Source organism: Homo sapiens, chromosome 8, assembly GCF_000001405.40.
Source record: "Homo sapiens chromosome 8, GRCh38.p14 Primary Assembly".
Lineage (NCBI taxonomy): Eukaryota > Metazoa > Chordata > Mammalia > Primates > Hominidae > Homo > Homo sapiens.
Genome location: NC_000008.11, coordinates 38,564,667 through 38,591,162, shown reverse-complemented (window position 1 = coordinate 38,591,162; position 26,496 = coordinate 38,564,667). Strand labels below are relative to the sequence as shown.

Below are 26,496 nucleotides of genomic sequence, written 5' to 3'. Positions count from 1 at the left end.
TTTAATTCTAGATTTAAGTTTATTTATGTTCTGTTTTGTATAAATGTGCTGTTTTATACAACATTATATTTTAATTTTGGTGCCTATATTTTTTATTTCATGTGCCTGTCATTTTTTCATCATATTTTTCTCTTTTCTTACATTTTTCATTACTTTCATTTATGTCTTCAATCTTTTTGAGCATATACTTTTATGAATTTCTATCTAGTAGTTCCATTTTCAGAAGTTACTAGTCATGGCCACTGATACACACTAATGATGGATTGTTTCCCAGTGAGTTTTAAATTTTGAGCCACATCCAGCAGAATCCCATCTGTGGAAATCCTTTAAAGCCAGGGATCAGGGTGTGTCCTTCCAGTGGGATTTTGTGTTTGCTGCTGCCCATCTCTCCAGGCCGTCAGTAGTGTCAGCCTTAGGACATTTTAACATTAAAGTCTTAGCTGGAGGATTCCTGGCCACCCAGATAGTATAAATTAGAACCAAACTCAGCCAAGGTACAGGCTGTGACTACAAATTCTCAGGGGGTCCTTCTTCCCATTCAGACCCAAGTCATAGCAGATAGGCCTCCTTGCTGTCTCCTTCTGCTGGTGAATGAATGTATTTTAGTCCATTAGTTTACTGTGCATGAGGCTGACAAATGATTCTGACTTTAAGCAAGAGCCTTGGTTCCAACCCCTCTGCCTGAAGCAGGCCCAAGGCTGTGTCCCTGAGAAGGTTCAGACCCAACCCTTGGCCATCACCAGGTCTGAAAACAAGCCGTGCTCCTACCAGGGCTGCCACAGTCTCTGACCACATATTTATCAGTCTGTTTTTCAGTTTACTCTTTAATTTTGAACGTGGGAATTTCTTTTAGTTTTTTTACATGTTCAGTTATATGTTTAAAGGGATATTTGTTATATCATATTTAGGATTTCCAGTTGTTTGTATCAGAAGAATTCCCAAATTATATTAGTTCACCATATTGACAAATTAACGTCTGATCCTCCAGCAAATTAAAGGCTGAGGCAGGAGGATTGCTTGAAGCCAGGAGTTTGAGACCAACTTGGGCAACATAACAAGACCCTGTGTTTACAAAAAAAAAGAAAAAGAAAAAAAGAGAATTAGCTTGGCATGGTGGTGTGTGCCTGTAGTCCCAACTGCTCAGGAGGCTGAGGTGAGAGGATCCCTTGAGCCCAGGAGGTCGGGCTGCAGTGAGCTCTGATCATGTCACTGCAGTCCAGCCTGAGAGAAAGAGTGAAACCCTGTCTAGAATGAATGAATAAATAAATAAATGAATAAGCTTCCTCATTGTTTGTTCAGGCACTTCATGACCTCATATTAATAAGTTTATTGCCTCTCTGGGCAACATGTCAGCCTCAGTTTCTTTCTGTTAAAACACTGGGCCTCTCCATTTTTTAAATTCAAATCCCTGGGAATATGTACTTGGTTGGACTAGCTCACCCCATCTAGGCAGAGCTCCTCACCCCAAGACTCCCACAGGCCATGGGCAGCCCATGAGTTGGCTGCTTTTGAGTCAGGTTCAATCAAGTGCAGCTGGAGGAAGAATGAGTCTCACGGTGCGAAACACTGTGGCTAATGGTGCCTCCATCAGGACCATTTCCTTAGAAAGGCCTGTGGACACAGAAGGCACTCCCAGAGACAGTCCTCCTCCCAAGCACCATCAGGGCAAGATACCACCATCCCCTGAACAGCACAGCATTTTACCCATGAACAAATGAATAAATAAACAAACAGCGAGTTGAATAGCCCATAGTCAATTGTGATGGTTTGTACAGGTTTCAGTTTGAAAAGCAGTCACTAATGAGCTGCTTGGTCACATTTTGTCAATTATTTAGATGTAGAGATCAAAGTCAGATTATAGGTTGGGTACAGTGGCTCACATCTGTAATCCCAGCACTTTGAGAGGCTGAGGTGGAAGAATTGCTTGAGCCCTGTAGTTCAAGACTGGCCTGAGCAACACAGCAAGACCCCATCTGTACAAAAAATAAATTAGCCAAGTGTGGTGGCCTGTGCCTATAGGCCCAGCTACTTGGGAGGCTAAGGCAGGAGGATCTCTTGAGCCCGGGAGTTCAAGGCTGCAGTGAGCTATGATTGCATGACTGTGCTCTAGCCTGGGTAACAGAGTAAGACTTTGTCTCTAAAAAAAATTTTAAATGAAAAAGAAAAAAAAGTCACTTTATACATTTGATGCATGACAGAAAGTTGAAAGGGATAGATAACACTCTCCAGAAATGAGGTTCAAATGGTTTTGGCTGATTACAATCAACAAGATTTAATTTAATGAGGATGAGGGAAAGCCCTAAAGTTATGTCCAAAATTCCAATGGTGAAGCACAGGATTGTTGTGTCCTGACTCGGCTGCAACTCATGGACCAAGAATCTGGGACTTTTAGTGACGGTCATTTCAACCTGACCCTGACTAGTCCTGCTCAACTCCTACCCAAATCCTCCGGGCCCTGGTGAAACACATAGGGCCCACAGAAAAAGAGCTGTCCATGATCGCCCTGCCTCTGTGAGCTTCAATCCTAACTTACCTGTCTCATCAGCCTCATGTTTAGCTCTACCGCTGCCCATTCTCTTCTGTACCCCAACATAGCCTCCTTAATTTTATGCACAATTTAATTTTCTGGGCCCCTTTCTCATCTCTCTGCTTGTTAGTCATTTCACTTGCAGTCTTCTGGGTCTGCAATTCATACTAGGAACTTTGGAAGAAATGAAGGATACATTTCTCTTAGAGAAGAGACTATGGGAAGCAAAATGGGACCTTCAAATGAAAGCTAGGGTGGACAGGTCCTGTGCTGCTGCAGCCACCGCTGTTAGAACCAGAAGGGAGACAGTTGAAAGGATCAGATGTCTGTTCAATACAAGCCACTTACTGTTTCAATGAATATGTGCGAGCACTTACTATCTGCAAGGTGATAGGCACTTTGGGCCATCCAAAGGAAGTACTTGCCAACAAATAGAATGCATTCCGTTGAATTCTAGTGTTGAACGGGGATCCCTGACCTGCTATTGAGAATGCTGCAGAGTTGATTGCTGCATTGGGTAAGGGGACTAGACTCACCCAGTGGCAAAATCCTGGATCCACAGTGACATCTCCAAGCCAGGCCCACTCTCCCAGAAAGGCACTGACAAAGATGAATCCTTTTGAATGCAGAGGAGTAACAGACCACAAGCTGTAATTTCAAAGGGGTCAGAATGACCTGCAGAAAAGCCTGCAAATACTTCCCTACCTGTCTTCTTGCTTCTGGCCCTGGAAATTAGCCCAACCCACTCCCAAGCTGCACCTGCAGAAGATGAAGGGTAGCTGAAAATAGCCACCAGTGTGCAGAGCAATTTCCCAGAACCTCCATTCTCTGATTTGGCTCAGATTCTATCTTAGCTTCCTCCAATCTCCTGGCTCTGACTTCACCTTGGTTATTTGAACCTTGGCTTGACTTATCCTATAGACCAGAGAGGTTTTCAAACTTGAGCTAGCATCGGAATCACCTACAGGACTTATTAAAGCTGAAGCTGCTCATCCCCAGAGGTTTGTTTTTGTTTTTGTTTTTTCTTTTTTGAGACTGGGTCTCATTCTTTTACCTAGGCTGGAGGGCAGTGGTGTGATCAAAGCTTACTGCAGGCTGGACCTCCCAGGCTCAGGCAATCTTTCCACCTCAGCCTCCCAAGAAGCTGGGACTACAGGCACGTACCACCATGCCTGGCTAATTTTTAAAAATTTGTTGTAGAAATGTGGTCTCACTATGTGGCCCACGCTGGTCTCAAACTCATGGCCTCAAGTTATCCTTCCACCTCAACCTCTGAAAGTGCTGGGATTATAGGCATGAGACACCGTGCTCAGCCCACAGTTTCTAATTAAGTCAGTCTGGGATGGGCCCAAGAATTTGCAGCTCTAACAAGTTCCCAGGTGAGATGGATGCTGCTGGTCTCGGACCAGGCTTTGGGAGCCACTGCTCTAGAACTAGGCGCAGCTCTCCCCTCTGCGAGAACCTTTAGTGTAACCCAGCCCCGCAGAATCCTAACTCTGTCTCCTAAGCTATCACAGCCCCAGCCATCACTCCAGTACCCAAAGGGCACTTGGGATGTTACCAATGAAACGATGCCTAAAGTTTCCCAGCATTTGATTCTGAAACCCAGGGTTTCTTGATCTAGCAATATGCAAGTGCCCCAGAAGGCATTTTGCCATAGTTTTACAGAGATAATTAATTAAAAATCTTCTGGGAATGGTATTCCCTCATTGAGAGTCAGCATGTTAAAAAAAAAAAAAGAAGAAGAAGAATAAAACTAACTCTCCCAAATCTTCCTAAATCACATGAGACTCAGCTGGTGGCCTTAGAGTTGCAGACTGAAGTACCAAAGCAGACAGCTTCAAAGAAACAGTCGGGGTCAAATACAAAGAAACAGTTGGGGTCAAATATTAACAGCTGGCTCTAACATAACTCTTATTCTGTGCCAGGCTGTGTCATAAATACTTAACATATATATTAAATACATTTATGTATGTATTATTTAGTTCCTCATAACAAACCTATAAAGAAGATTTTGTTATTATCCTCATTTTCACTAAGAAAACTGGGGCACAGAGAGGTCAGGTAACTAGACTGAAGTCACACAGCTAGAACATGAGAGAGCCAGGACCAAGCCCGGGAGTGGAGCCCTCAGGTCTATGCATTCCCCACGGCACCGCACAGCCTGGGGTAACTTACACAGACTCTGAAATCTGTGTTCTGGATCCAGCCTCCTTTTTCTGCTGAAATATGTACCCCCTAGTTGGGATCCAATTTTCAGGTGCCTGAAGTCCTCCACCCTTTCCTTACCATCCCCACCTTGAAAGAGAAGTGTTCCCTTGTCGAAGAATTTCATTTCAGGCATCGGCAAGCAGAGAAATTTGGGGGAGTCACTGGGGAGGGCCTAGACCATACCAGGTCTTAGCTGGCCACAAACATATACCTGACTTAGGTTCTCAACTGTTTTTCAGCAACTTAGTGGAGGTGGGATTGCTGGGATAAGTCCCCGGGGGCTCTCCCCTAAATGGTAGGCCCCTCAAGTCATGGTAGGTCAAGGCCACTTCCAGGTTTTGAGCATATCTCCAAAAGAAGGGTTTATAATAAATGTTTACATTAAGCAATCACACATTTAACCCCCCAAATAAATATACTGGGAATGTACAGTTGACCCTTGAACAACAAATGGGGTTGGGGCACCGACCCCTTCAGATTGAAACTCCTGGTCAGGCATGGTGGCTCACGCCTGTAATCCCAGCACTTCGGGAGGCTAAGGCAGGAGGGTTGCTTGGGCCAGGAGTTCAAGACCAGCCTGGGCAACATAGTGAGACCTCATCTCTATTTTTTAATTATAAATTAAAAAATGAAAAGACTCCTGTGAATTCAGTGTGTCCCGCCATGTGATGGCATGGCAGTCTGTCATCTGAGGGTTGTGGGAGGAAAGTCTTCCCTGCCTTTTGGGTAGCTGGAGACCCATCTGCAGAGGACACCCACAATCCAAAGCTGAGCACCCCCTATCTGGCCCAGTGGCCACCCCTCCCATCTGTGACAGGACTCGCTGGAGGGGCCTAGCTCTGGGGACCCTGGCTGAGGCTCCAGCGTCAGTTGGGCTTCATCTCTGGTTTCTCCCAGAGCCCAGACTGGCCTGCCCAGCACCGTCTACCAACCAGAGGCCTCTCTCAGCCTTCTCGCTTCCTAAGCTCCAGCTGAATTCTCCCAGCTTCACTCACTGCTGCCCTAAAACTGAAAATTCATAATATTCTGGTTCATTGACCAATATTTTAATAGGCATCTAATGGGTCTTTTGCTCCTAAAAATCCCTTCCTCATATCCTGGAGCACAGCTCTAAACCTCTATATCATTTCCACGTCTGGTTGTGGAACTTGACCAAATCCACAGAGTCCTTGGCCTGCTTCTCCTTTACTAAAAGGGACATGGTTTTGTTTTGAGTTTGCCCCTTTAGTCTTTCAGAAGGGCCATAGGACCGCATAGACACCGTTCCCACCCAACGTCTGCATGTAAGACAACTGTGGTAGCAACATTGGCTTGCTTGGGCTTCGTTTCGCTGCTGCAACAACAACTAAACATTTCCCAAGAGTGAGTGCATCTCAGCATAAAGATAGGGTAGGCAGATGAGATGCATGATGCCCAGTTAAATTTGAATTTCAGATAAACAATAAATACATTTGTAGCATAAGCATAGCCTGTGCAATTTGGGGGATATACTTACACTTAAAAATTATTAGTTGGGCCAGGCACAGTGGCTTGCAATGGTAATCCTAGCACTTTTGGAGGCCAAGGCAGGAGGATTGCTTGAGCCCAGGAGTTTGAGACCAGCCTGGGCAACATAGCAAGACCCCATCTCTCCAAAAAATGAAAAAATTAGCTGGGTGTGGTGTCTTGCATTTGCACAGCTACTCAGGAGGCTGAGGCAGGAGGATTGCTTGAGCCCAGGAGATCGAGGCTGCAGTGAGTTACGATCATGCCACTGCACTCCAGCCTGGGCAACAGAGCAAGACCTTGTCTCTAAAAATTAAAAATAAAAGTAAAAATTAAAAATTATTAGTTGTTCATTTGAAATTCAAATTTAACTGGGGTGCTGCATTTTTATTTGCTAAATTTGATAATGCTAAGCTGACATCAAATAATCCAGTTTAATGAGAGTTCTGTGAAAATATGAACAATAAGTACAGGCAGCCCAACAGCCTCACTAAACTCAAGTGCCTGCTTTTTGCCTACAGAACAGCAGGCATCTGATTAATGATCACGACTGACCCAGTATCCAGTAGAAAACAGGAAATTCCCCAAAAGGATATTGCAATGCTACTTGAAAAAAAAAATGAAATGAAAAATACTACACAGTCAAAAGTTAACAAGGTCTACCATAGTTATGAAACACCCTTTCTAAGGATGACGCAGGCTGAGGTTGGTAAAGATAGATCTCTCCTCTATCATAATTTTTCCAAAGGTACTTACCTAAAAAGCAAAGGGTGATTCAGGACACCTAGGTCCTTGCCTTATTCCAGGACTGGTCACTGTAGGATTGGAGGTGAAGACCTTAACAGCAACTTCCACCCCATCCTCAGTGCCTCAATTTCACCCTAGATGCAAACAGAGACCATCTGAAGGCCCTCAGAAGAAAAGTGTGTGATGTAGTCAAGGAAGTCTTCCACCATTTAAATAAACAGCCACAGTGAGGTAGCTCTGCCCCTCCGATGAGAAGGGAGGAAAATTGCCTCATTAAAAAACATTTTCAATAAAAAATTTTCATCAGAAACATTCACAAGAGGGTTTTGGTCAAATGACGCAATAATTTTAAGGCAATAATAACCATGTTTTTGAAAGTCGGTGCTGATTACCAGGTGTATTGAAAATGGCCTTGGGGAAATCTCTGTGCAAATATTTCCTTTTTAGTTTAATTTCAAAGACTACTTAAAAGGAAAAAGGGAGGATGTCTGCAGTAATAAAGGAGCAATCATTTGCACCTGGACAGGACTGTGTTTCATCCCAGAATCTGGAGCGTTTTGTATACAGATGGGAGAGCCCGGGTGTGCGGCAGAGGCTGCGGGGTCAGGAAGGGACATGGCAAAAAAACAATGTACCTCTACCAAGGTCACACGGAAACACAGGTGGATTCGATAGCACGGCTCCCGCCTGATTACAATCACACAGCTTCCCTGCTCTGAAGAAAGCATAGATCACGTGATGGGAGGTCCCTCCTACCTTCAAAATCAAAGCCTCTGCAGCTGCCACAAAGCTAATATGGCCATGGCCAAGTTTACTGAGCATCTGCTACATGCACAGCCTGTTAGGCACCACAGGGGAGAATGAAGAGGGATAGACCCTGATCCTGCCAGCAAGTGCGAGACGAGCTCAGGAGGCAAGACTGGCTTGTGCGTGTGTGCACAGAGTGGCTTTGTACTACTCTCTTTATGGAGAGATGGAATCTGTCAGCAAGGGTGTAAGGGGGTATACAGACCTTCCTCAGGCCTCCAAGTGTAGGAGACACTTAGATAGAAACGTGGGACATTTCATAATGTTTCATAATGTCTTATATTCTATCCCTCTCTACTAGAAAACTGGAGAACCCCTGCCTTTCCCCTAAGAAATGCAAAATAGACTTCAGGCTGGTCCCAGGCTGTTTGCAGAAAACCAGACATTGGAGGTCTCTTCCAAGAAGTTCAAAAGGGGTTCTGGTTAGTGTGTCCCTTCTCTGTTTGTGTTTTGCTGGTTTCTTGCCCCACCTAGTACTTTATTCGCTCCCTCTTTTCTTCTTTTCCTTCCCACAAAAGAAAAACTCATAATGAGACCACAAGACAAGGACAGCAGAGAAGCTCCTGGATTCTCACCCATTTTGCTGAACTCTTAGGGGAGCAATGGTTCCTGTTAGGGCTGAGCCATGGTCTGAGCTGGGAGGAGGGTCACACTGACCAGGACAGGACTGCTGGTGGCCACATGCCCCCCATCCACTAAATGCTTACAGAATAAAGGATTAGACAGGTCAGCAGACGGCCACTATCAGAGGGACCCTCTGTCATTCACTACCACAGGACTGGCCACCAAGCAGCCTGGATGTTCTGGAATAGTTTCCATTTCAAATGATATATTGACCCCATAAATCATCCAAATGGCCTGGAAATTATAACATTTCAGCATCCAAGCTACAATTTCAAAAATGGCCCCTCACATTTGGAATCGGTACAAAAATCTTCCATCAGCCCAGATCTCCTGGCTGGGTTTCAGAAACTAGGATCACTGCTAGAGGATGATGGGAAAGTACATGTATTCGGCCTTCATGCTCCCCACATACCCTTTCAGCCACCTGTTCCCACCTGCTGCCCAGCCGACTCCACCCTCCCTCTGCCCCTTTCTGGTGAAAACCTGCCCCAATTAGCATCTGGCAAGCATACACCAGCAAAAAGACTGAGGAGGATGTTAGGATATTTGCATCCTCACAAGAGACAGCGTCTTGAGACAAAGGGATGAAATCCTAATAAGGAATTAGGGGGTTTAAGCAAATGTAAGAGAATATAGAGAAGGCTGGGCTTGGTGGCTCACACCTGTAATCCCAGCACTTTGGGAAGCCAAGTTGTAAGGATCACTTAAGCCCAGGAGTTCAAGACCAGCCTGGGCAACATAGCAAGACCCTGTCTCTACAAAAAAAAAAAAAAAAAACAACAACAACAAAAAAAAACAGATAGAAAAATTTAGTCGGGCATGGTGGCACGCACCTGTAATCCCAGCTACTTGGGAGGCTGAGGTGGGAGGATCACATGAGCCCAGGAGTTGGAGATTGCAGTGAGCCATGATTGTGCCACTGCACTCCAGCTTGGGAGACAGAGTGAGACCCTCTCTCTAAGAAAAAAAAAAAAAAAAAAGAGAGCGAGACAGAGAGAGAGAGAATATAGGGGAAAGGAAAGTGAGGGATCTCTGTGGAACCCTTTGAAGCTGCCCTGCCTATTTGCCACGTTAAGTCTCCTACGTCTGAATGGGGTGGAGGAAACTGCAACTGCTGTGGTTGAAGGAGAGAGTAGGTACCAAGCAGGACTGAGAGCTCCTTCATGAGTGACCAAAACTGGACACAGCCCAGTGGCTGCACACACTTCTGATGAAGGGGCCATGTGGCAGGAATAAGTTCCTTGACGACCTGACTCAAAGGCCACTGGACACTGGCTGGAAGTCTGGAGGTGAATCCCATATACTTTTTGCACTTCTGCACCTGTGATAACATGAACCCTGCCCAGTGCTGCACAGTGGCTAATATCACAGGAAGCACTCAGCCCACTGCTGTGAAAGGTACTAGGCTAGCCACTGTTGGTGGTCGCCATGTCCCAAGAATCACAGCCCCTAGGGAGCCTGGGTCACATCTCAGCCAGAAATGGTATGAAACAGATGTCTGTTCTGCTCATCTGCAGAATGGGAGCCCTGAATTCTGCCCCAAACACGGTCTCACCCAGCCAGGGGCATCTTGCCACAGCTCACCTAAAAGGCACACTCTAGGCTGCCCGGGTTGGTGGTCTATGTTCCCAGGACTCACCTGTCTTCTCTCTGCTCCCTGGTGACTACTGTCTCCCTTCTGCTCCCTCCCACACCTACGGCGGGGACCTGACTGCTACCTCCTCAGTCTCATGTTTTGATTCCATACTCTTGGCTTTCTTATTTCTGATTCCTTGCCTTTTGCTGTGATAATTCCGTGGGCAGATCTCATTGTCATGACCTCCATCTTTGGCAAGCCCTGGGACACACCTTCCCTATGTAGAGTCCCCACAGGGATGTGTGTGGGATGAGCCAAGAGAGAAACCATGCTTGAAAAATCTCTCTTCTCTTTGTTCTTCCAGCTGCCTGCAGAAGATGGGTAAGCTTCGCCCTTTTCCAATCCTCTAATCAAAGAGGATGCATGAAAGTCTTTGAAGAAAGTCTCTGCAGAAGGCTGATTCACCCTCAAATTTTTTTCTCTGCCTTCTCCTCCTATGGCCTGCAATTTCCACAATTAGAAATTAATTCCTTTGAATTTTTTCTGCTAAAATACATATAAGCCTGGGAAAGGAAACAGCAGTTGTATTCCAGAGTGAATGTACTTATTCTGAAAGAGTATTTTGATAAGGGGAGAAAGAATTTAAGAGTTCCTGGGAATGAGGGAATTGGGAACGGTTAAAAGGAGCCTCAAAGAGAGGAGAAACAACTTTGGAATGGAAAGATTCCGTCGAGAGGGGGCCCAAGCCAAACTTTTCCTCTCTCAGAGCTTTGCACAAGCCAAGCAGGTCAAAACCAGGTCTCCAATCAGCAAAAGGGGGTAAAAGGTTGGGGAATATTGGAGCAAGTTCAGGCATTGGATACAAAGGCTTCCTTTAGTCTAGGAATTGTGCAAGCACCAAGGGTGCAGTGAAAGGTAAGACCCAGCTCCTGCCCTCAATGTAGAGTTCACAACGTAGTTGGGAGAATCAGTACTCATCATTCGGGTTGAGGGCCTTGGATGTTCTGGCCACACACAGAGGAGGGGCACGGTCAGCAGGCACCTGATGCAGCCTGGAGAAAGGGGAGGATGGGACACATAGACTGGCTATAAAGAAAAAGACAAGTTAGAAGTAGCCTAACCAGTGACTAGGCACGGTGGCTTACACCTGTGATTCCAGCACCTTGGGAGGCCAAAGCAGGAGGATCACTTGAGGCCAGAACTTCAAGACCAGTGTGGGCAACATGGTGAAACTCTGTCTCTACAAAAAAATAACAAAAAATAGCCTGGTATGGTGGCACATACCTGTGGTCCCAGCTACTTGGAAGGCCGAGTGGGAGGATCACCTGAACCGGGGAGGTCAAGGCTGCAGTGAGCCATGATCATGCTACTGCACTTCAGCCTAGGTGACAGAGAGAGACCCTGTCTTAAAAAAAAAAAAAAAAATCAGCTGAGCATGGTGGTATGCACTTGGAGTCCCAGCTATTCAGGGGCTAAGGCAGAAGGATCACTTGAGCCCAGGAGTTTGAAGCTGCAGTGAGCCATGATCACACCACTGCATTCCAGCCTGGGTGACAGAGCAAGACCCTGGCTCTAAAAATAAATAAATAAATTTTTTTAAAAAAAGAAGTAGCCCACCAGGAAAAGGAAAGGCATACCAAGTGGAGGAGAGCACATAAGCAAAGGCTTGGGGGAAAGCACCTTCTATGTGGTAGGAATGTAGGTCCTTAAGCGGATGTGAAGGGAGATGAGGCTGCAAAGGTGTTTGACCACCAGAGTACTGGAGGTCATGTCAAGAAGTTTCAACTTCCTGGCTGGGCGCAGCGGCTCACGCCTGTAATCCCAGCACTTTGGGAGGCCGAGGCGGGCGGATCACCTGAGGCCAGGAGTTCGAGACCAGCCTGGCCAACATGGTGAAACCTCCATCTCTACTAAAAATACAAAAAGTAGCTGGGCGTGGTGGCGGGTGCCTATAATCCCAGCTACTCGGGAGCCTGAGGCAGGAGAATCTCTTGAACCCAGGAGGCAGAGGTTGTAGGGAGCCAAGATCACGCCATTGCACTCCAGCCTGGACAACAAGAGCGAAACTCCGTCTCAAAAAAAAAAAAAAGAAGTTTCAACTTCCTTAGGAAAGCAATCACAAGCTTCTGAAGAATTGTAAGCAGAGGACTACATGGCAATTCGTATCTGCCTTGTTCACCAGAAGGCAGGCAGATGATGGAATGCAGGGGAATGAGGCTGGGGACAGGGGCGCCAGTTAGGAGGTTATGGTAATAGATTCGAGATGAAGGACTCACCTGAAGCAGGTGCAGAGAGTATAGAGGAAGATTGGGAAGATCTGAGGACCAATGTAGGGGCTGAGGGAATGTAAGAGGGTGACAACCATTGCCTGGATTGCCAGCAGGGCCACGGGGAATGGCTCTGTCCACTGAAAAAAGGAAGGCAGGGATGTCATGCAGGGCTTAGCTTTGAAAGTTTGGATGAAAGCAAAATTTCATATGGCCAACATTGCACTTGAAAATCCCTTAAATTACCCATAATGTACAGCAGAGATCATCATGGCTTTGGTTGAATCAGATGAAGTTCCAAGGCCTTGTTATATGTGAAATGCAGATTTTTTTTTTATGTCAGGGTCTTGCTCTGTCACCCAGGATGGAATACAGTGGCATAATTATAGCTCACTGCAGCCTTGAATTCCTGGGCTCAAGCGATCCTCCTGCCTCAGCCTCCTAAGCAGCTGGGGTTATAGGTGCATGCCACTGCTCTCAGCTGAAATACAGATCTTAAACCCCAAAAATCGCACTCAGCATGGAGAGATGCTCATTACAGGAAAAACACAAGGAACTCCACAGAAATAGAAGAATCAGGTCTTCCACTTCTTCACCCCAGGGTTTTCGGCCATGGGTAGAATGACCAGCAGGAACTCCAAGCACTATTTGAGTCTATGATTCTCAACCTTGGCTGCACATTGGAATCACCTGGGGAGCTTTGAAAAATACAGATGCCTGGGTTCCACCCCCAGAGATTCTGATTCCATCCTTCTAGAGAACAGTGTACGCATCTGAATTCTTAAAAGCTCCTTAGAGATTCTAAGGTGCAGACAAGGTTGAGAACCACTGATTTAAGTTGTTCTCTCTCCTCACCTTTGCCTCATTTGAATTTCTATGAGTTAAAGGGCAAAGGGTGAGTTCAGTTTTGGACTTGGGTTCAAGCAAAGACATCCTCTACCCTCTACTAATGATCCCTCTGGGTCTTATAAATGTTTATCCAGGCAGCCCTGGGTTCAGCAACAGTTCCTGATTGATGGGTACAGTTGCTGGGATGGGGAAGAGGCTCTTCCAGACAGTAGTTCCAGACAGCTTGACTCTGAAACACAAACAAACAGAAAATAGTCACTCTGCCTCCCAACCTGTTCAGCACTGGGGAGGTGGCAGGGTGGGGATCAGGGGAAGATTTCAAACAAGGGCAACATTTACTAGGCTTTTCCAACCACGCTAGAATAGTTATTACTGCAAATAGCCGATTTGACTGCTACGAGTCTATAATTTCAATCTCTGAAGTAACATGTTCTCAGAGCTTCTGGTATCTCAGTTTGTTGATGCAATGAGGAAAATCCAAGGACAGTACTTCAGGCGCGTCCTCATGCCCCAGGTGCTAGTGCCCTAGTGAGAACCAGGCTCTGCAAAATCAGGCTCCAAGACTGTCACAAGGAGCCTCCTTCAGAGTCTAGGTTAGGGCTAAGTTCTTATTTTTCTTCCCATGCTTGCAATCTGTACGCCCTCTCCTTAAAATGGTCATTGTGTTACAGGAAAGGGGTCCTGATCCAGACCCCAAGAGAGAGTTCTTGGATCTTGCACAAGAAAGAATTCAGGGCAAGTCCATAGAGTAAAGTGAAAGCAGGTTTATTAAGAAAGTAGAAGAATAGGGCCAGGTGCGGTGGCTCATGCCTGTAATCCCAACACTTTGGGAGGCCGAGGTGGGTGGATCACCTGGGTTGGGAGTTCGAGACCAGCCTGACCAACATGGAGAAACCCCATCTCTACTAAAAATACAAAAATTAGCCGGGCGTGGTGACACATGCCTGTAATCCCAGCTACTCTGGAGGCTGAGGCAGGAGAATCGCTTGAACTCAGGAGGTGGAGGTTGCAGTGAGCCGAAATTGTGCCACTGCACTCCAGCCTGGGAAACAAGAGCAAAACTCCGTCTCAAAAAAAAAAAAAGCAGAAGAATAAAAGAATGGCTACTCCATAGACAGAGTAGCCCTGAGGGCTGCGGGTTGCCCATTTTTATGGTTATTTCTTGATGATATGCTAAACAAGGGGTGGATTATTCATGCCTCCCCTTTTTAGACCATATACGGTAACCTGACATTGCCATGGCATTTGTAAACTGTCATGGCACTGGTGGGAGTGTAGCAGTGAGGACGACCAGAGGTCACACTCATCGCCATCTTGGTTGTGGTGGGTTTGGGCTGGCTTCCTTACTGCAGTCTGTTTTATAGGCAAGGTCTTTATGACCTGTATCTTGTGCTGATCTTCTATCTCATCCTGTGACTTAAAATGCCTTAACTGTCTGGGAATCCAGCCCAGTCGGTCTCAGCCTCATTTTACCCAGCTCCTATTCAAGATGGAGTTGCTCTGGTTTGCACGCCCTCTGACAAACGTTTCTCCAGGCATCCTCCCTGGGGCATCTTTAAAACTCTAACTCCAGAAAATCCTGACCACCCCTCTCCCCAAGAGGCAATGAAGACCGAGTCAATCTATTCTCGAGTCCATAGGATGGCCGACCAGCTCAGCAACCAGAACAGAAGTGCCACACCAGTCGAGAGTGGAGGCCTCCAAGCGTAGCTGAAGGCTACCACCAGCCACTCTGCCTTGATCTGCTGGACACTGATAGGGCCTCCCCATGAGGTCCCTGGGGGAAGAAGAGGTTCATACCAGTCCCAGACTTTTGGGCATTCAAATCCAGTCAGTGTTCATCAAGCCCATGATGGAGGAGGCACAGCAGGTTAGACCATCACCTGAACCCTAATGGGAGATCACGGGTTGACCCTGATTTCCTGGAGCTGATGCTTTAACCCTTCAAGAAGGCAGCTCTTCTGTGGAAGCCCCAGCCCAGCTAGCCCACAGCAGCCAATCCAGGTCAGGCACTTCCCTCCAGGGCAGGTCCAGTGGCCAATCCAAGGCAGGAACTTCCGTCCAGGGCAGGTCAGGCCCAGTGCTCAGCTGACACATGCTGTTTGGGTTACCTCCACCTAGGGGCCAAGGGAAACCCTTGGCCTTCTGAAGGTTCTCTGAAAAATCAACGCACAAAAGGGAGATCAATTGGAAAAAAGACGTGTAAATTTATTTAACGTGTATACAAGGGAGCCTTCAGAATGAAGACCCAAAGATACAGGGGATATTGTCCACTTTTATGCTTAAGTTCAACAAAGTATGGACAGCCATGTGGAAATATGATTGGAAAAAAAGTCCATCCTGATGGACTGGCTGGGGGCTGGGGACACCCAGCAAAGCCTATCTGTCTAGAATCTTCTTGGCCTCTCTGAGCACCACTTCTTCCTTCTGGGTGTGGGGCAGGACCCTCTCTGGAAAGGGGGTCTTCTGCCCTACTGTCAAACAAGGTCAATCAGATAATTTTTCATGGCGAGTTTTTACACAGAAAAGCAGAGGGAACATTAGAGTAACATTTTTAGGTTTTATGGCTGGCTTTGGGGAAAATGGGTTCTGGTTTCTATGACCCACCATGGAAAAGAGGGATTCTAGTTTCCCTGGCCAGCCTCGGGGGAGAATGAGAGGCAGAGCCAGGAGGGCAGGAGAGGACCAGAGGAAAACTTTTGCTTCTGAGGCCTTCATTTTGGAGGCTATTGTTTTCTGAGCCCCAACACCCACCTTGGGTTATCCCAATCCTGCTAACAACACAGAAGTCTGGGACAATCATCTCCTAACCTGAGGGTAAGGGAGAGATTCCCATTCTTGTCTTTGGGATTCCTCAGATCTCCAGTGGCTTCAGTGGGTGGCTGTGAAATTCTTGAAACAAAAGCAATTCAAATTCACTTAAAAAGAAATTAATGCAAAATCATAGAGCACTTTGTGGGGGCTAAGAGGAAGGAAAAGATGTCACAAAACTGACAAATTTATATAATGTATTCATTCATCAACACCCACCATCTGCCAAGTACTGTGCAACGTCCTGGCACTACACACACGAATGAGGCACGGCCCCGGCCCCAGCAAAGTCTCAGTTTGGTTTAAGAAGCAGATGATTGGCCTGGTGCGGTGGTTCACGCCTGTAATCCAGCACTTTGGGAGGCTGAAACTGGCAGATCACGAGGTCAAGAGATCGACACCATCCTGGCTAACACGGTGAAACCCCGTCTCTACTAAAAATAGAAAAAATTAGGTGGGTGTGGTGGTGGGTGCCTGTAGTCCCAGCTACTTGGGAGGCTGAGGCAGGAGAATGGTGTGAACCCAGGAGGTGGAGCTTGCAGTGAGCTGAGATCCCGCAACTGCACTCCAGCCTGGGCAACACAGCAAGCCTCCCGTCTCAAAAAAAAAAAAAAGCAGATGACTGCAATAGTCAATGTTAACAACTGTGACAGAGGTGATATGGCAGCCCACATGAGGTGTTGAATTCTGCCTGAAGGTGTCAGGAAAAGGTTTGGGAAGATTGGTAGGAAATCAGGACGTAAGAACAAGCAGTGTAGGGAGAGACGGCACGTGTGAAGCCACAGAGCTATGTGAGAATGTGGCACCTTCAGAAACCAACTTCCAAAGGCTGGGACCTCAACCTCTGTGTCCAGCCAAGGCTTTGTCTGGCCCAGGAAGAGGGCTTTCCTGACATCATCCTACTGAAGTTTCTTCTTCACTGCACCCTGAATCTGTGCACATATGTCTGATAAGCACAGGTTCAGGTATGTGGCCTTGGGAGTCACATACGTCATCCTCTGCAGGTTGCTAAAAATACCTCGGCCATCTGCTGCCTGCCATCACACCTGCCCAGAAAGAAGTCAGCCAGGTAGGCCTTGCCAGAAAGCAGGAGTCGGCAGGGGAGGACGCTGGCAATAATGTTGCAGTTTGACTGACTATTCACTGGTTTTCAAGCATTTCAGGAGGCAAGATTTTTGCCACACAGATACACTGGCCTCAGAGAATCCCCTAAAGGGGAGGAAAGCCAGTACTTTTTTTTTTTCTTTTCTTTCTTTTTTTTTTGAGGCAGGGTCTCACTCTGTCACTTAGTCTGGAGTCTAGTGACACAATCATGACTCACTGCAGCCTCCACCACCCAGGCTTAAGTGATCTTCTCACCCCAGCCTCCCAAGTAACTGGGACTATAGTCACATGCCACCACACCTGGCTAATTTTAAATTTCTTTTTTTTTTGTAGAGACAGGGTCTCACTATATTGCCCAGGCTGGTCTCAAACTCCAGGGATTGAGCGATCTTCCTATCTTGGCCTCCCAAAGTGCTGGCATTACAATTGTGAGTCACAGCACCCAGCCGAGAGCCTGTTCTTGTTGAGTAGCTGGTCTCCACCCGAACATGGGTCAGTTGCTTTGTGTAAGTTACTGTGATCTCTACTTAAAGAGGAAACTGAGGCTCTCATGCCAGCACATAGTGAGAAGGGGTGAAGTCAAACACTATCCTAAGCCTCTATAAACCCCACAGCCATACCTGCCTTCCCAGCAAAACCCTCTTCCAGTCAAGCCAAGGACTCCAAGCTGTACCCTTTCACCTCCATCCCCTGCCTACTGACTTTCGAGAGGCCTCTCTCCTGCACCATCATCCTTCCCTTCGGCACGACTCCTTCATCAGGGAACTGTCACCAACAGCACACACAGGCTAGTTTAAGAGCAGGTGTTTTTAAACTTTCTGAACAATCCTTATTTTAAAAAATAACAGCTATATATGTATGGATCCCTGGACAGGAAGCGAATTTGTATATTCCTTTCCTAGAGAGGTCCTTGCTTGCATGACATCAGAGAAAATGAATACATGACAGAAGAAACAGAAGAAAATGGAAGAATCGAGCTCTGAAATAAAATCCTGATAAGTCTGAGATGTAAAAATAATCCATTCATAACACCTTATTCCCCATGCAGATATCCCTGTGTGACCTTAGAATTTGGGATATTCCAGTGCTGGGGATGCGACGTCACTAGACTCCAGCCTTGTCCCCTTTCTGTCAGTGCTTCTGCCTGTCCTTGGTCTGCTGAGCACTCCCCTTCTCAGGGCACACCTTACCTGCACGGTGCTCCAGGACACCTGGTTTTCCTTGTCCACCTCACACCTACCCGTTCTCTCCCAAGCCGAGGATATGGGAGGCTCCTCAGAATCCAGTCCTTCAGGCTCCCATTCCATTCAGAAAACACAGCCTTTTCCCACATTTCTCCTGAATCTTCAGTGCCACACATGCTATTGTTCTTCTGTTTTTTAGAAGCCATCTCTCCCAAGCCATCATTTTATTCTCACTTTCCTTTTTGGACTCCCCCCAATGCTTCTTTCTAGTCTCCTAATTATGCCCTGTTCAAGGGCACCAGAGTTCAAGCTTGTCTTTCACACACAACGTAACAGCAGGGTGAATAAGATGATGTAGTCGTATAGACCATAGCCTTATACAGTCATGCACGGAGTGTAGAGGGGTGGGACAGGAGACACGTTTAGGAGTCTAGATAGGAGAAGAAGTGGGTGTCAGAATGAAGTTGGGATAGAGGTTGAAGTAGAAGTACAGAAGTAGAAGCAAGAGCTTGAGCTTTGGAGTTAGATATCATCTTTTTTGTAAGCCTCAGTTTCCCTTTCTGTAAAATGGGCACAATGATGCTGACATGAAAAAGTTATTAAACAGACTAAATTTGATGCAAAGTGCTTCACTTATATGACCTCATACTGTTGTTATTCCTTTTTTTTTCAACAAGTGAAGAAATTAGAGCTTAATGCTTATGTCACTTGCCCAAAACCACACAGTTCATAAACAGCAGAGCCAGGAATCAAACCCCAGTTGGTCAGTCTCCATCACCCCTGCTTTTAGTCAACACGCTGCCTCACACGACCTCAGACATTCCAATTCCCAGTGGGACCACATCTTTGCCTCAGAAATCACAGCTACGGTGCCCCCACCAAGGAGTGAGATACTGCCCCATCTTAGTCATCTCTAGGATAGGTATCATCCTCACCAATGCTGCCCCCACCTCGCCACTCTTGAGTCAGTAATGGGCAGGTTGGCCAGCAGCCTGCAATGTGAACTGCTGCTCTAACATTGCCAGCTCTGCCCACACCCTAGAAGTGGGTAGTTACAGGCTCCTTGAGGCCAACCATGCTTCTTTCCCTTCAGATCTATGTCCTCAGCTCAGCAGGGCATGTACTAAGTGTCCAATTAAATACCTGCTTGTTGAGGTATGGGTTGAAGGTGTCTGCTGGTGCCAAGACAAGAACCTGGCAAAGGACTGGAGTGGCACATTTCTCATGAGCCACCAGCCACCTGAGTTCGCTGTGGGATCCGCCCTCTTGAAATGTGTCACTGGCAGACAGAGCCACTGAGCACCGTCTGAGTCCTAGATCCCGCTCAGCTCTGACTTCACAGGGGACCCCCGAGCCTAAAGCAGCCAGAGGGAGTCAGAGGGAGGAGCAACATGAATCATCCTCATAACATTTGTGTGAATATTACACATTTAGCTTTACTCACAAGTTGTAGGTTTGATAGAAGCAATCTTCAAAAATACTGTACAGTGAATATAATTATTTTCTTACAATCCATTTTCATTTTAATTATGCCAAACATCCAGACACCTTCTCTTCTCTGGTATCTCTCTTGTCACATTATTTACTCTCAAATCAGCTACTTTTCAAGCCATTTACTAATTTTTTTTTCAAGCCCACAAAATAGATGCAAGGACTTTTTTTTCAAATCTGAAATATCAGATCTATTTAAAAATTCATATAATATAGAAAGAAATATTGTAGTAAACACCCAATATCTACTCATAATCCCTTTCCCAAATATCACCACTATAATAGGCTGGTTTATAGCCTTCCTGAATTTTAATGTGTATGTAAATATAAATGAAATGTAAGTGAATTTGGTCATTCAAATATACTGTCCTGAAACACTCATTTTTCTTTGACAGTCTCTCACAGGATAACTGTTGATGGTTATACATATAGATTCAAGCCATAATTTTTAATAACTGCTTACTTAATATTTCATTGAATAAAATTTCCTTTTTTTTTTTTTTGAGATGGAGTTTCACTCTTCTTGCCCAGACTGGAATGCAATGGCGCAATCTTGGCTCACTGCAACCTCCACCGCCTGGGTTCAAGCAATTCTCCTGCCTCAACCTTCCAAGTAGCTGTGATTACAGGCATGCGCCTCCACGCCCAACTAATTTTTTTAGTAGAGATGGGGTTTCTCCATGCTGGCCAGGCCAGACTCAAACTCCTGACCTCAGGTGATCTGCCTGCCTTGGCCTCCCAAAGTGCTGGGATTACAGGCATGAGCCACTGCGCCCGGTCCCATTTTTTTTTTGAGATGGAGTCTTGCTCTGTCACCCAGGCTAGAATGCAATGGCGCAATCTTGGCACACTGCAACCTCTGCCTCCCGGGTTCAAGCTATTCTCCTGCCTCAGCCTCCTGGGTGGCTAGGATTACTGGCGCACCCCCACCACACCCGGCTAATTTTTGTATTTTTAGTAGAGACAGCATTTCACCATGTTGGTCAGGCTGGTCTCAAACTTCTGACCTTGTGATCTGCCTGCCTTGGCCTCCCAAAGTGCTGGGATTACAGGCGTGAGACGCCGCACCCAGCCCAAAACTTCCATTTTAAAAAATCAATACCATGTAAATGGATATTTAAGCTGTTTTCATGTCTTCGCTATTTTAAACAAGTCAAAAACAGATATTCTTCTTGATTATTTTCTTAAGATAAATTCCCAGAAGTAGAGAGATGCCTGGGCAAAGGAGTTGCATATTTTACATTTTAATGTCTATTTCTAGGCCACCTTCTAGAAAGGAGGCCTGTTGTGAAGGTCCTGTATAAAGAAATACCTTTCTTGAGTATTACAACTCTAAAGAGCTCAGAGAATGGCAAGGAGCTCCTCCTGGCTCCCCAGGCAGCCCCCACTGGGAAGCAGAATTGGGAACAGCACACCTTTTCATACTTTCTTATCCCTTACTGCAAGCAAAATCCAGGCAAACTCTTGAATCAACATAATTTTTTAAAATTTCTAGGGTCTTTTTTTTTTTGAGACAGAGTCTTGCTCTGTCGCCCAGGCTGGAGTACAGTGGTGCAATCTCGGCTCACTGTGCAACCTCCGCCTCCTGGGTTCAAGTGATTCTCCGCCTCAGTCTCCTGAGTAGCTGGGATTACAGGAAGCGCCACCGCACCCAGCTAATTTTTGTATTTTTAGTAGAGATGGGATTTCACCATGTTGGCCAAGCTGGTCTCGAACTCCTGACCTCAGGTGAACTGCCCACCTCAGCTGCCCAAAGTGCTGGGATTGCAGGTATGAGCCACTGCACTCAGCCTTTTTCTTTTTTTTTTTCATTTCTAATACTCCCTTTGCTCTTGCAGCCCAAATATTTCCTGGTTATTTACAAATTTAGATGACATTCATGACATTTGAAAATTTAAAAAATTGGAAGAAAGTGTACAGTGCACACAAAGGGACACTATATATATTCTAATATCAATGTGAGAATGACTTGACAGAACTAGTTACAAGAAAAGGAATAACCCTCCAAGATCCCCAAGAGTCACTTAAGTCTTGTTATCTCCTCTTCCACAAAACCTCATTTTCCAAACCTGGCATTCAAGACAAGTCTAGCCCCATCATAAAATGTAAAGCCTTCTTTTTCCTGAACTCCATTTTTCTCTAGTGAAGCAGAAACCATTGTCTTTCACTCAAACCTATTGAGCTTTCCTGCTTTATGTCTTGGTAGTTAATAATAAAAGATGTCACCCTTTATTGAGCATCTACTATATGCCAGGCACCATGCTAAGTGCTTTATGGAGGTGTTGGGACTCAGAAAACAATACCCCAAAATAAAGACCTAAAAAGCAAACATTTTTCTCTGATCTTCTCCTGCTCTCCTGTCTCTTACTTAGTCCATTCTACCCCCAAACTTAGCCATAGAAACTAGAGCAGGTCATAGAAACTAGAACCTCTTTTCCCCAAAACCAGCCATAAAACCTAAAAACATTAATCCAACTTTCCCTTCACCTTTCCATGTAAAAACTGGCCATAAAGAAATTATCTGACCTACCTTGTTTGACTGTAGGTCATAAGACCTTCATTTTAGAGAAAGTCCTGCTCCATACACAGATGGAAAGGAAGCTGCTCAGAGAGGCCAAGAAGAATCTAGACAGGCTTTGTTGGGTTTTCCCACTCATAATAACTAATCTATCAGCATTAGATCAGCCTTTTTTTGTCCATCATATTTCTGCACCACTGTCCATACTTTATTGAACCTGAGCATAAAAATGGACAATTAGCCCTGTATCCTTGGGTCTTCATTCTGAAAGCTCCCCTGTATACACATCCAATAAATTTGTATGCCTTTTCTCCAGGTAATCTGCCTTTTATGAGTTGGATTTTCAGCAAAACTGTGTTTTCCCTGCAGGGGATATTTTAGGTAAACCTTACAACAATCCTATGAAGTAGGTACTATTCATCCCCATCTTACATATGGAAAAATGGAGTTTCAAAAGATTAAGTGACTTACACCTAGCCACACAGCTATTCCAAGTTCAGCCATCATGTTAAACCATGTCATCCTAACACCAACATGTCAGCGTTCAATCTCTACCCTGCATTGCCTGACACCCCACTTTCTCCAGCTCCTCACAATCCAAATCCTCAAGATGCAACTCGAAACCTATCTCTTTAATAGTGTCCAACTTTCTTCTTTTTTTGTTGTTTGTTTTTTGAGACAAGGTCTCACTCTGTCACCCAGGCTGGGGTGCAGTGGCACGATCTCGGCTCACTGCAACCTCTGGCTCCTAGGTTCAAGCAATGCTCATGCCTCAGCCTCCTGAGTAGCTGGGATTACAGACACATGCCACCACCTCCAGGTTTTTTGTTTGTTTGTTTGTTTGTTGTATTTTTTGGGAGAGACAGAGTTTCACCATGTTGGCTAGGATGGTCTCGAACTGCTGACCTCAAGTCATCTGCCCACCTTGGCCTCCCAAAGTGCTAGGATTACAGGTGTTAGCCACCATGCCTGGCCTCTTTTTTGTTTGTTTGTTTTGAAACAAGGTCTCACTCTGTCTCCCAGGCCGGAGTGCAATGGCATGATCTTGGCTCTCAGCTCACTGCAACCTCCACCTCTGGGGTTCAAGCAATTCTCATGCCTCAGCCTCCCAAGTAGCTGGGATTATAGGCGCCCACCACCATGCCTGGCTTTTTTTTTTTTTTTTTGCAGTGTCCCACCTTCAATCAGCTGAATGCTCTCTTTTGTCATTCTGAATCTCCTTGTCTGAACTCTGAAGAGGTCATTGTTTCTACTCCTTGCTACCAGTGTTTCAGTTTAATTCATTCAGTTGATAGTTTTTCTTCAGTCTCCTCCATGGGCCAGGCCCTGCCAGGTGAACAGCTCGCAGCCCCAATCCTCAAGGAGGTGAGGCTGGTCGGGTCTCCCAACTAGATGGTGAGCTCATTGGAGGCAGGGACCAGATGGGTACCTCTCTGCATTCTCTACAACACTGGGAGCCCAGAAGACCTGCAGCAAATATTTCTAGATTGATTGGTACCTTGGATGGTTGACAACTGTACAGAAGGAGGGCTGCTTTTCTCCCCGCAAATCTTTGCCTGCCCCTATGACCTGCCTGGTCTATGGATTCACCACTTCCTGTTCCAGGCATTTCTCTTCTCACCAGGAGGCTGCTCAGGCCAGGTCATTTATCTCTGAGTCCTGTCTTCTTGGGAGAAGGACTGCTCAGCAGGTGCCTGATAACAAGCCCATTAAACCTCTCTCTCTGCTCTCAGCATGAGCGCTCCTGCACTCTGCAGTGTTTATCTTCCCTTCCAAGCAGCTGGGAGGATGAGCAGGGTCCACTGTGGAGAGGAGAAAGCAGGAAAGAGACTGTACCTGGAGCCGTGGGTCACCGGAACAACAAGAACTGCACACAACACACCCCGAAGGAACAGCAGTGGGACAGAGGTTAATAGAAAACCAAACTCCATCCCATCCTTCCTCCTCCACCTGCTCCTCTCTCTCCAACACACACACACACACACACACACACACACACACACACACACACACACCCTCCTTCCTTGTACCCCTGACATGAAATACAGGAATAATACCCACAGCAGAATACAGGAAAGAGGAAAAGCAAAAGAAGCTACCTTTTACGGTGGGAATTGGTGTGGGTGGTCCCTAGTCCCCAGGGTGCAATTTGAGAGTATCAGGTGGGCCTAACTCCTCTGCCGCCTGTCACCAGGGCCTGAGAATTCCCATTTAGAGTTGTTCCCATGATGTTTCCACAGTCTCCCTTTGAGAAGTAAATATTGGGCAGCCAGAGCTGGCTCTGTGGCATTCAGAAGGGCCCCACACTTGGTTTAATGTTCTGCTGTTGCTATCTTGAGATTCTTAATTTTTTAAGAAGGAATCTTGCATTTTCATTTTGTACTGGGCTTAGCAAATTATGTAGCCAGTCCTGTGGGCCACAGAGAGGAAGGGTCTTCAGAGACAGGATGAGGACAGAGCAGAATCTCCTTGTGGGACTGTGTGCAGGGGCTGGTGAGCGCTGGCAGAGCTGTCCTGGGATTGAGGGCTCACTTCACCGGCTGCATTCAGGCCCACAGAGAACAAGAAGCCACAGCCTGCAGCTGCTCAGGGAACCTGCCTGGGGCCAGACCAAACTCTCTGTTTTTTACCCCTCACCAGCCTTTTCCAAGTCACCAAAGCCAGGGGAGCACAGAGCTGAGAGGTTCTGGGTCTCACTGTGTCTTAGGGAGGACATCAGAGGTCCCCCTGTCCCCAGCTCTGAGCGTGCACAGGAGCCTGACCACACTTAAACCAGGCCCTGGTTCGGTCAGTCCACCAGGCCCTGGGCTCAGCCTCTAGCCACAAATCCTTCCACAGTCGCCAGAGCCCTGACAAAGCTGACTCTAAGGAAACTGGGACTGGGAACCCCCGGTTCACCAGGGCTGAACCGACTCCAGAGGGAGCTCATCAGACAGACCATGAGAGAGTAGAGAATTCACTCCCAACGCCATCTCCAGCAGGAGCCCTGCTCTCTCCTCTGGGAAAAGCAGCACTTTCTGCAGGGTTGGCAGGAGCGAGGCCTTCCTTCAGGCCAGGACTCAGTCCCTTTGCATCCCAGTGTCAAGCCCAGGGCCTAGCCCAGGGAAACCCCTGGAAGAGAAACGAGGAAGGAGGGAGGGAGGGATGATCTAGGTGTGTCTATTCAGAATGGAGCCTAGGAGGCCCTCCTGTCTTCTAGTCCCCTCCAAAACAGCCTGTCAGATTCCACGAATATGATTTCATTCCCTTTGCCTTTGGGGCTTGAGAAGCACTCATAAAATTCAAATGTCCCTGGAAATAGTCATTCTATGAGCTTTCTTCCTTGGAGATAAAGGTAGGTGCTTAGAGATGGTGAAGGCAGGAAGGAGGCAGGGAGGAGGGAGACAGGGAGGGAGAGGAGGAAGGGCAGGGATGACACACAGCTACTGCACCCGTGGGCCCTGGGCAGGAGCACAGCAGCCACCGGAGTGGAGAGAGGCCCTGGGCAGTCACTGAAGCCACATCTGGGCTGCCGGGCAGACGGAGGCTGCTCCACATGGCTCCTGATCTGCTGCTTATTGACTTCTGCTTCTCCCAGGCTCCTTCCTGCCCCAGCTCTCTACTGTCCTGGGCCGATGCCTCCTCGCTTCCCTGGTGACCAGAAAGCAAGGCCTCCCCTGCACGATGGGTGGGAGCACAGGGAAGGGTGGTACTACTGCGGAGTGTCAGAGCTCTGCCTCCTGCCTCCCCTCCCCCAGGCCCTCTGAGTACCCTGCCGCTGAGGCTGAGGCTGAGGCTGAGGCCATGCTGAGAAGTCTCCTGCCACGTCCGACTGCAGGAGTGGGAGGAGGAGCTGGAGGTGGGGGCTCTCAGACACTCATTGAAAATCCCGCCTGCCCCACAGAACGCAACCTCATTAAGATGGCCTGCTGGAGAGAGGATTAAGGCATCACAGTGGGTCCCCATCATGTGGTTGTTATTATCAGTCGTTTCCATCATCATTCAGAACTCATAATTCAAAACTGGTGCCCTCTTGCCAGCCGTGGCTGCCCTGGGATCAGCTGATCAGAGCCAGGCTCCCCCACGCCTACATTCCCGCTTTGAACCCATAAGCATGTGGAAGCCTCAAGCACGCAGGCCTCCAGACCCGCCTAAAAGAGAAAGGGAGTGGCCCACTCCCCCAAACCAAAGGGAGTGACGGTGGCGGGGTGAGGCGGTGGGGGCCGGTGGGGGGCCGGTGGGGGGCAGCTGGTGGTCAGGGAAGGCCTCATGAGGGAGGCGGCGCCAGGCCCTTGAATAGGGGAGGGGCAGAGAGG

At 47.0% G+C, this 26,496-nt stretch overlaps 1 long non-coding RNA gene across 2 annotated transcripts, besides 4 other annotated features; it reads right to left on the bottom strand.

The window, feature by feature from the left end:
• Window positions 1-26,097, bottom strand: LOC105379384 (uncharacterized). Of its 2 annotated transcripts, XR_949692.2 has the most exons (5): window positions 24,301-26,097; window positions 23,380-24,003; window positions 15,905-15,985; window positions 14,894-15,249; window positions 12,665-13,322 (listed from the first exon to the last, which is right to left on the bottom strand). It is a non-coding gene; the product is annotated as an uncharacterized LOC105379384 (long non-coding RNA). The 2 variants fall into 2 exon arrangements; XR_007060891.1 differs by lacking the exons at window positions 23,380-24,003; window positions 24,301-26,097 and adding an exon at window positions 16,124-16,338 and having other exon boundaries at window positions 1-15,249.
• Window positions 23,063-23,596: an enhancer, noted in NCBI's record as "NANOG-H3K27ac hESC enhancer chr8:38425085-38425618 (GRCh37/hg19 assembly coordinates)". NCBI's record gives its function as "activates a minimal SCP1, AML or CMV promoter by ChIP-STARR-seq in naive H9 embryonic stem cells {active_cell/tissue: H9 hESC(naive)}" and the evidence as "EXISTENCE:reporter gene assay evidence [ECO:0000049][PMID:30033119]".
• Window positions 23,597-24,130: an enhancer, noted in NCBI's record as "OCT4-NANOG-H3K27ac hESC enhancer chr8:38424551-38425084 (GRCh37/hg19 assembly coordinates)". NCBI's record gives its function as "activates a minimal SCP1, AML or CMV promoter by ChIP-STARR-seq in naive H9 embryonic stem cells {active_cell/tissue: H9 hESC(naive)}" and the evidence as "EXISTENCE:reporter gene assay evidence [ECO:0000049][PMID:30033119]".
• Window positions 25,375-25,893: an enhancer, noted in NCBI's record as "H3K27ac-H3K4me1 hESC enhancer chr8:38422788-38423306 (GRCh37/hg19 assembly coordinates)". NCBI's record gives its function as "activates a minimal SCP1, AML or CMV promoter by ChIP-STARR-seq in primed H9 embryonic stem cells {active_cell/tissue: H9 hESC(primed)}" and the evidence as "EXISTENCE:reporter gene assay evidence [ECO:0000049][PMID:30033119]".
• Window positions 25,894-26,413: an enhancer, noted in NCBI's record as "H3K27ac-H3K4me1 hESC enhancer chr8:38422268-38422787 (GRCh37/hg19 assembly coordinates)". NCBI's record gives its function as "activates a minimal SCP1, AML or CMV promoter by ChIP-STARR-seq in primed H9 embryonic stem cells {active_cell/tissue: H9 hESC(primed)}" and the evidence as "EXISTENCE:reporter gene assay evidence [ECO:0000049][PMID:30033119]".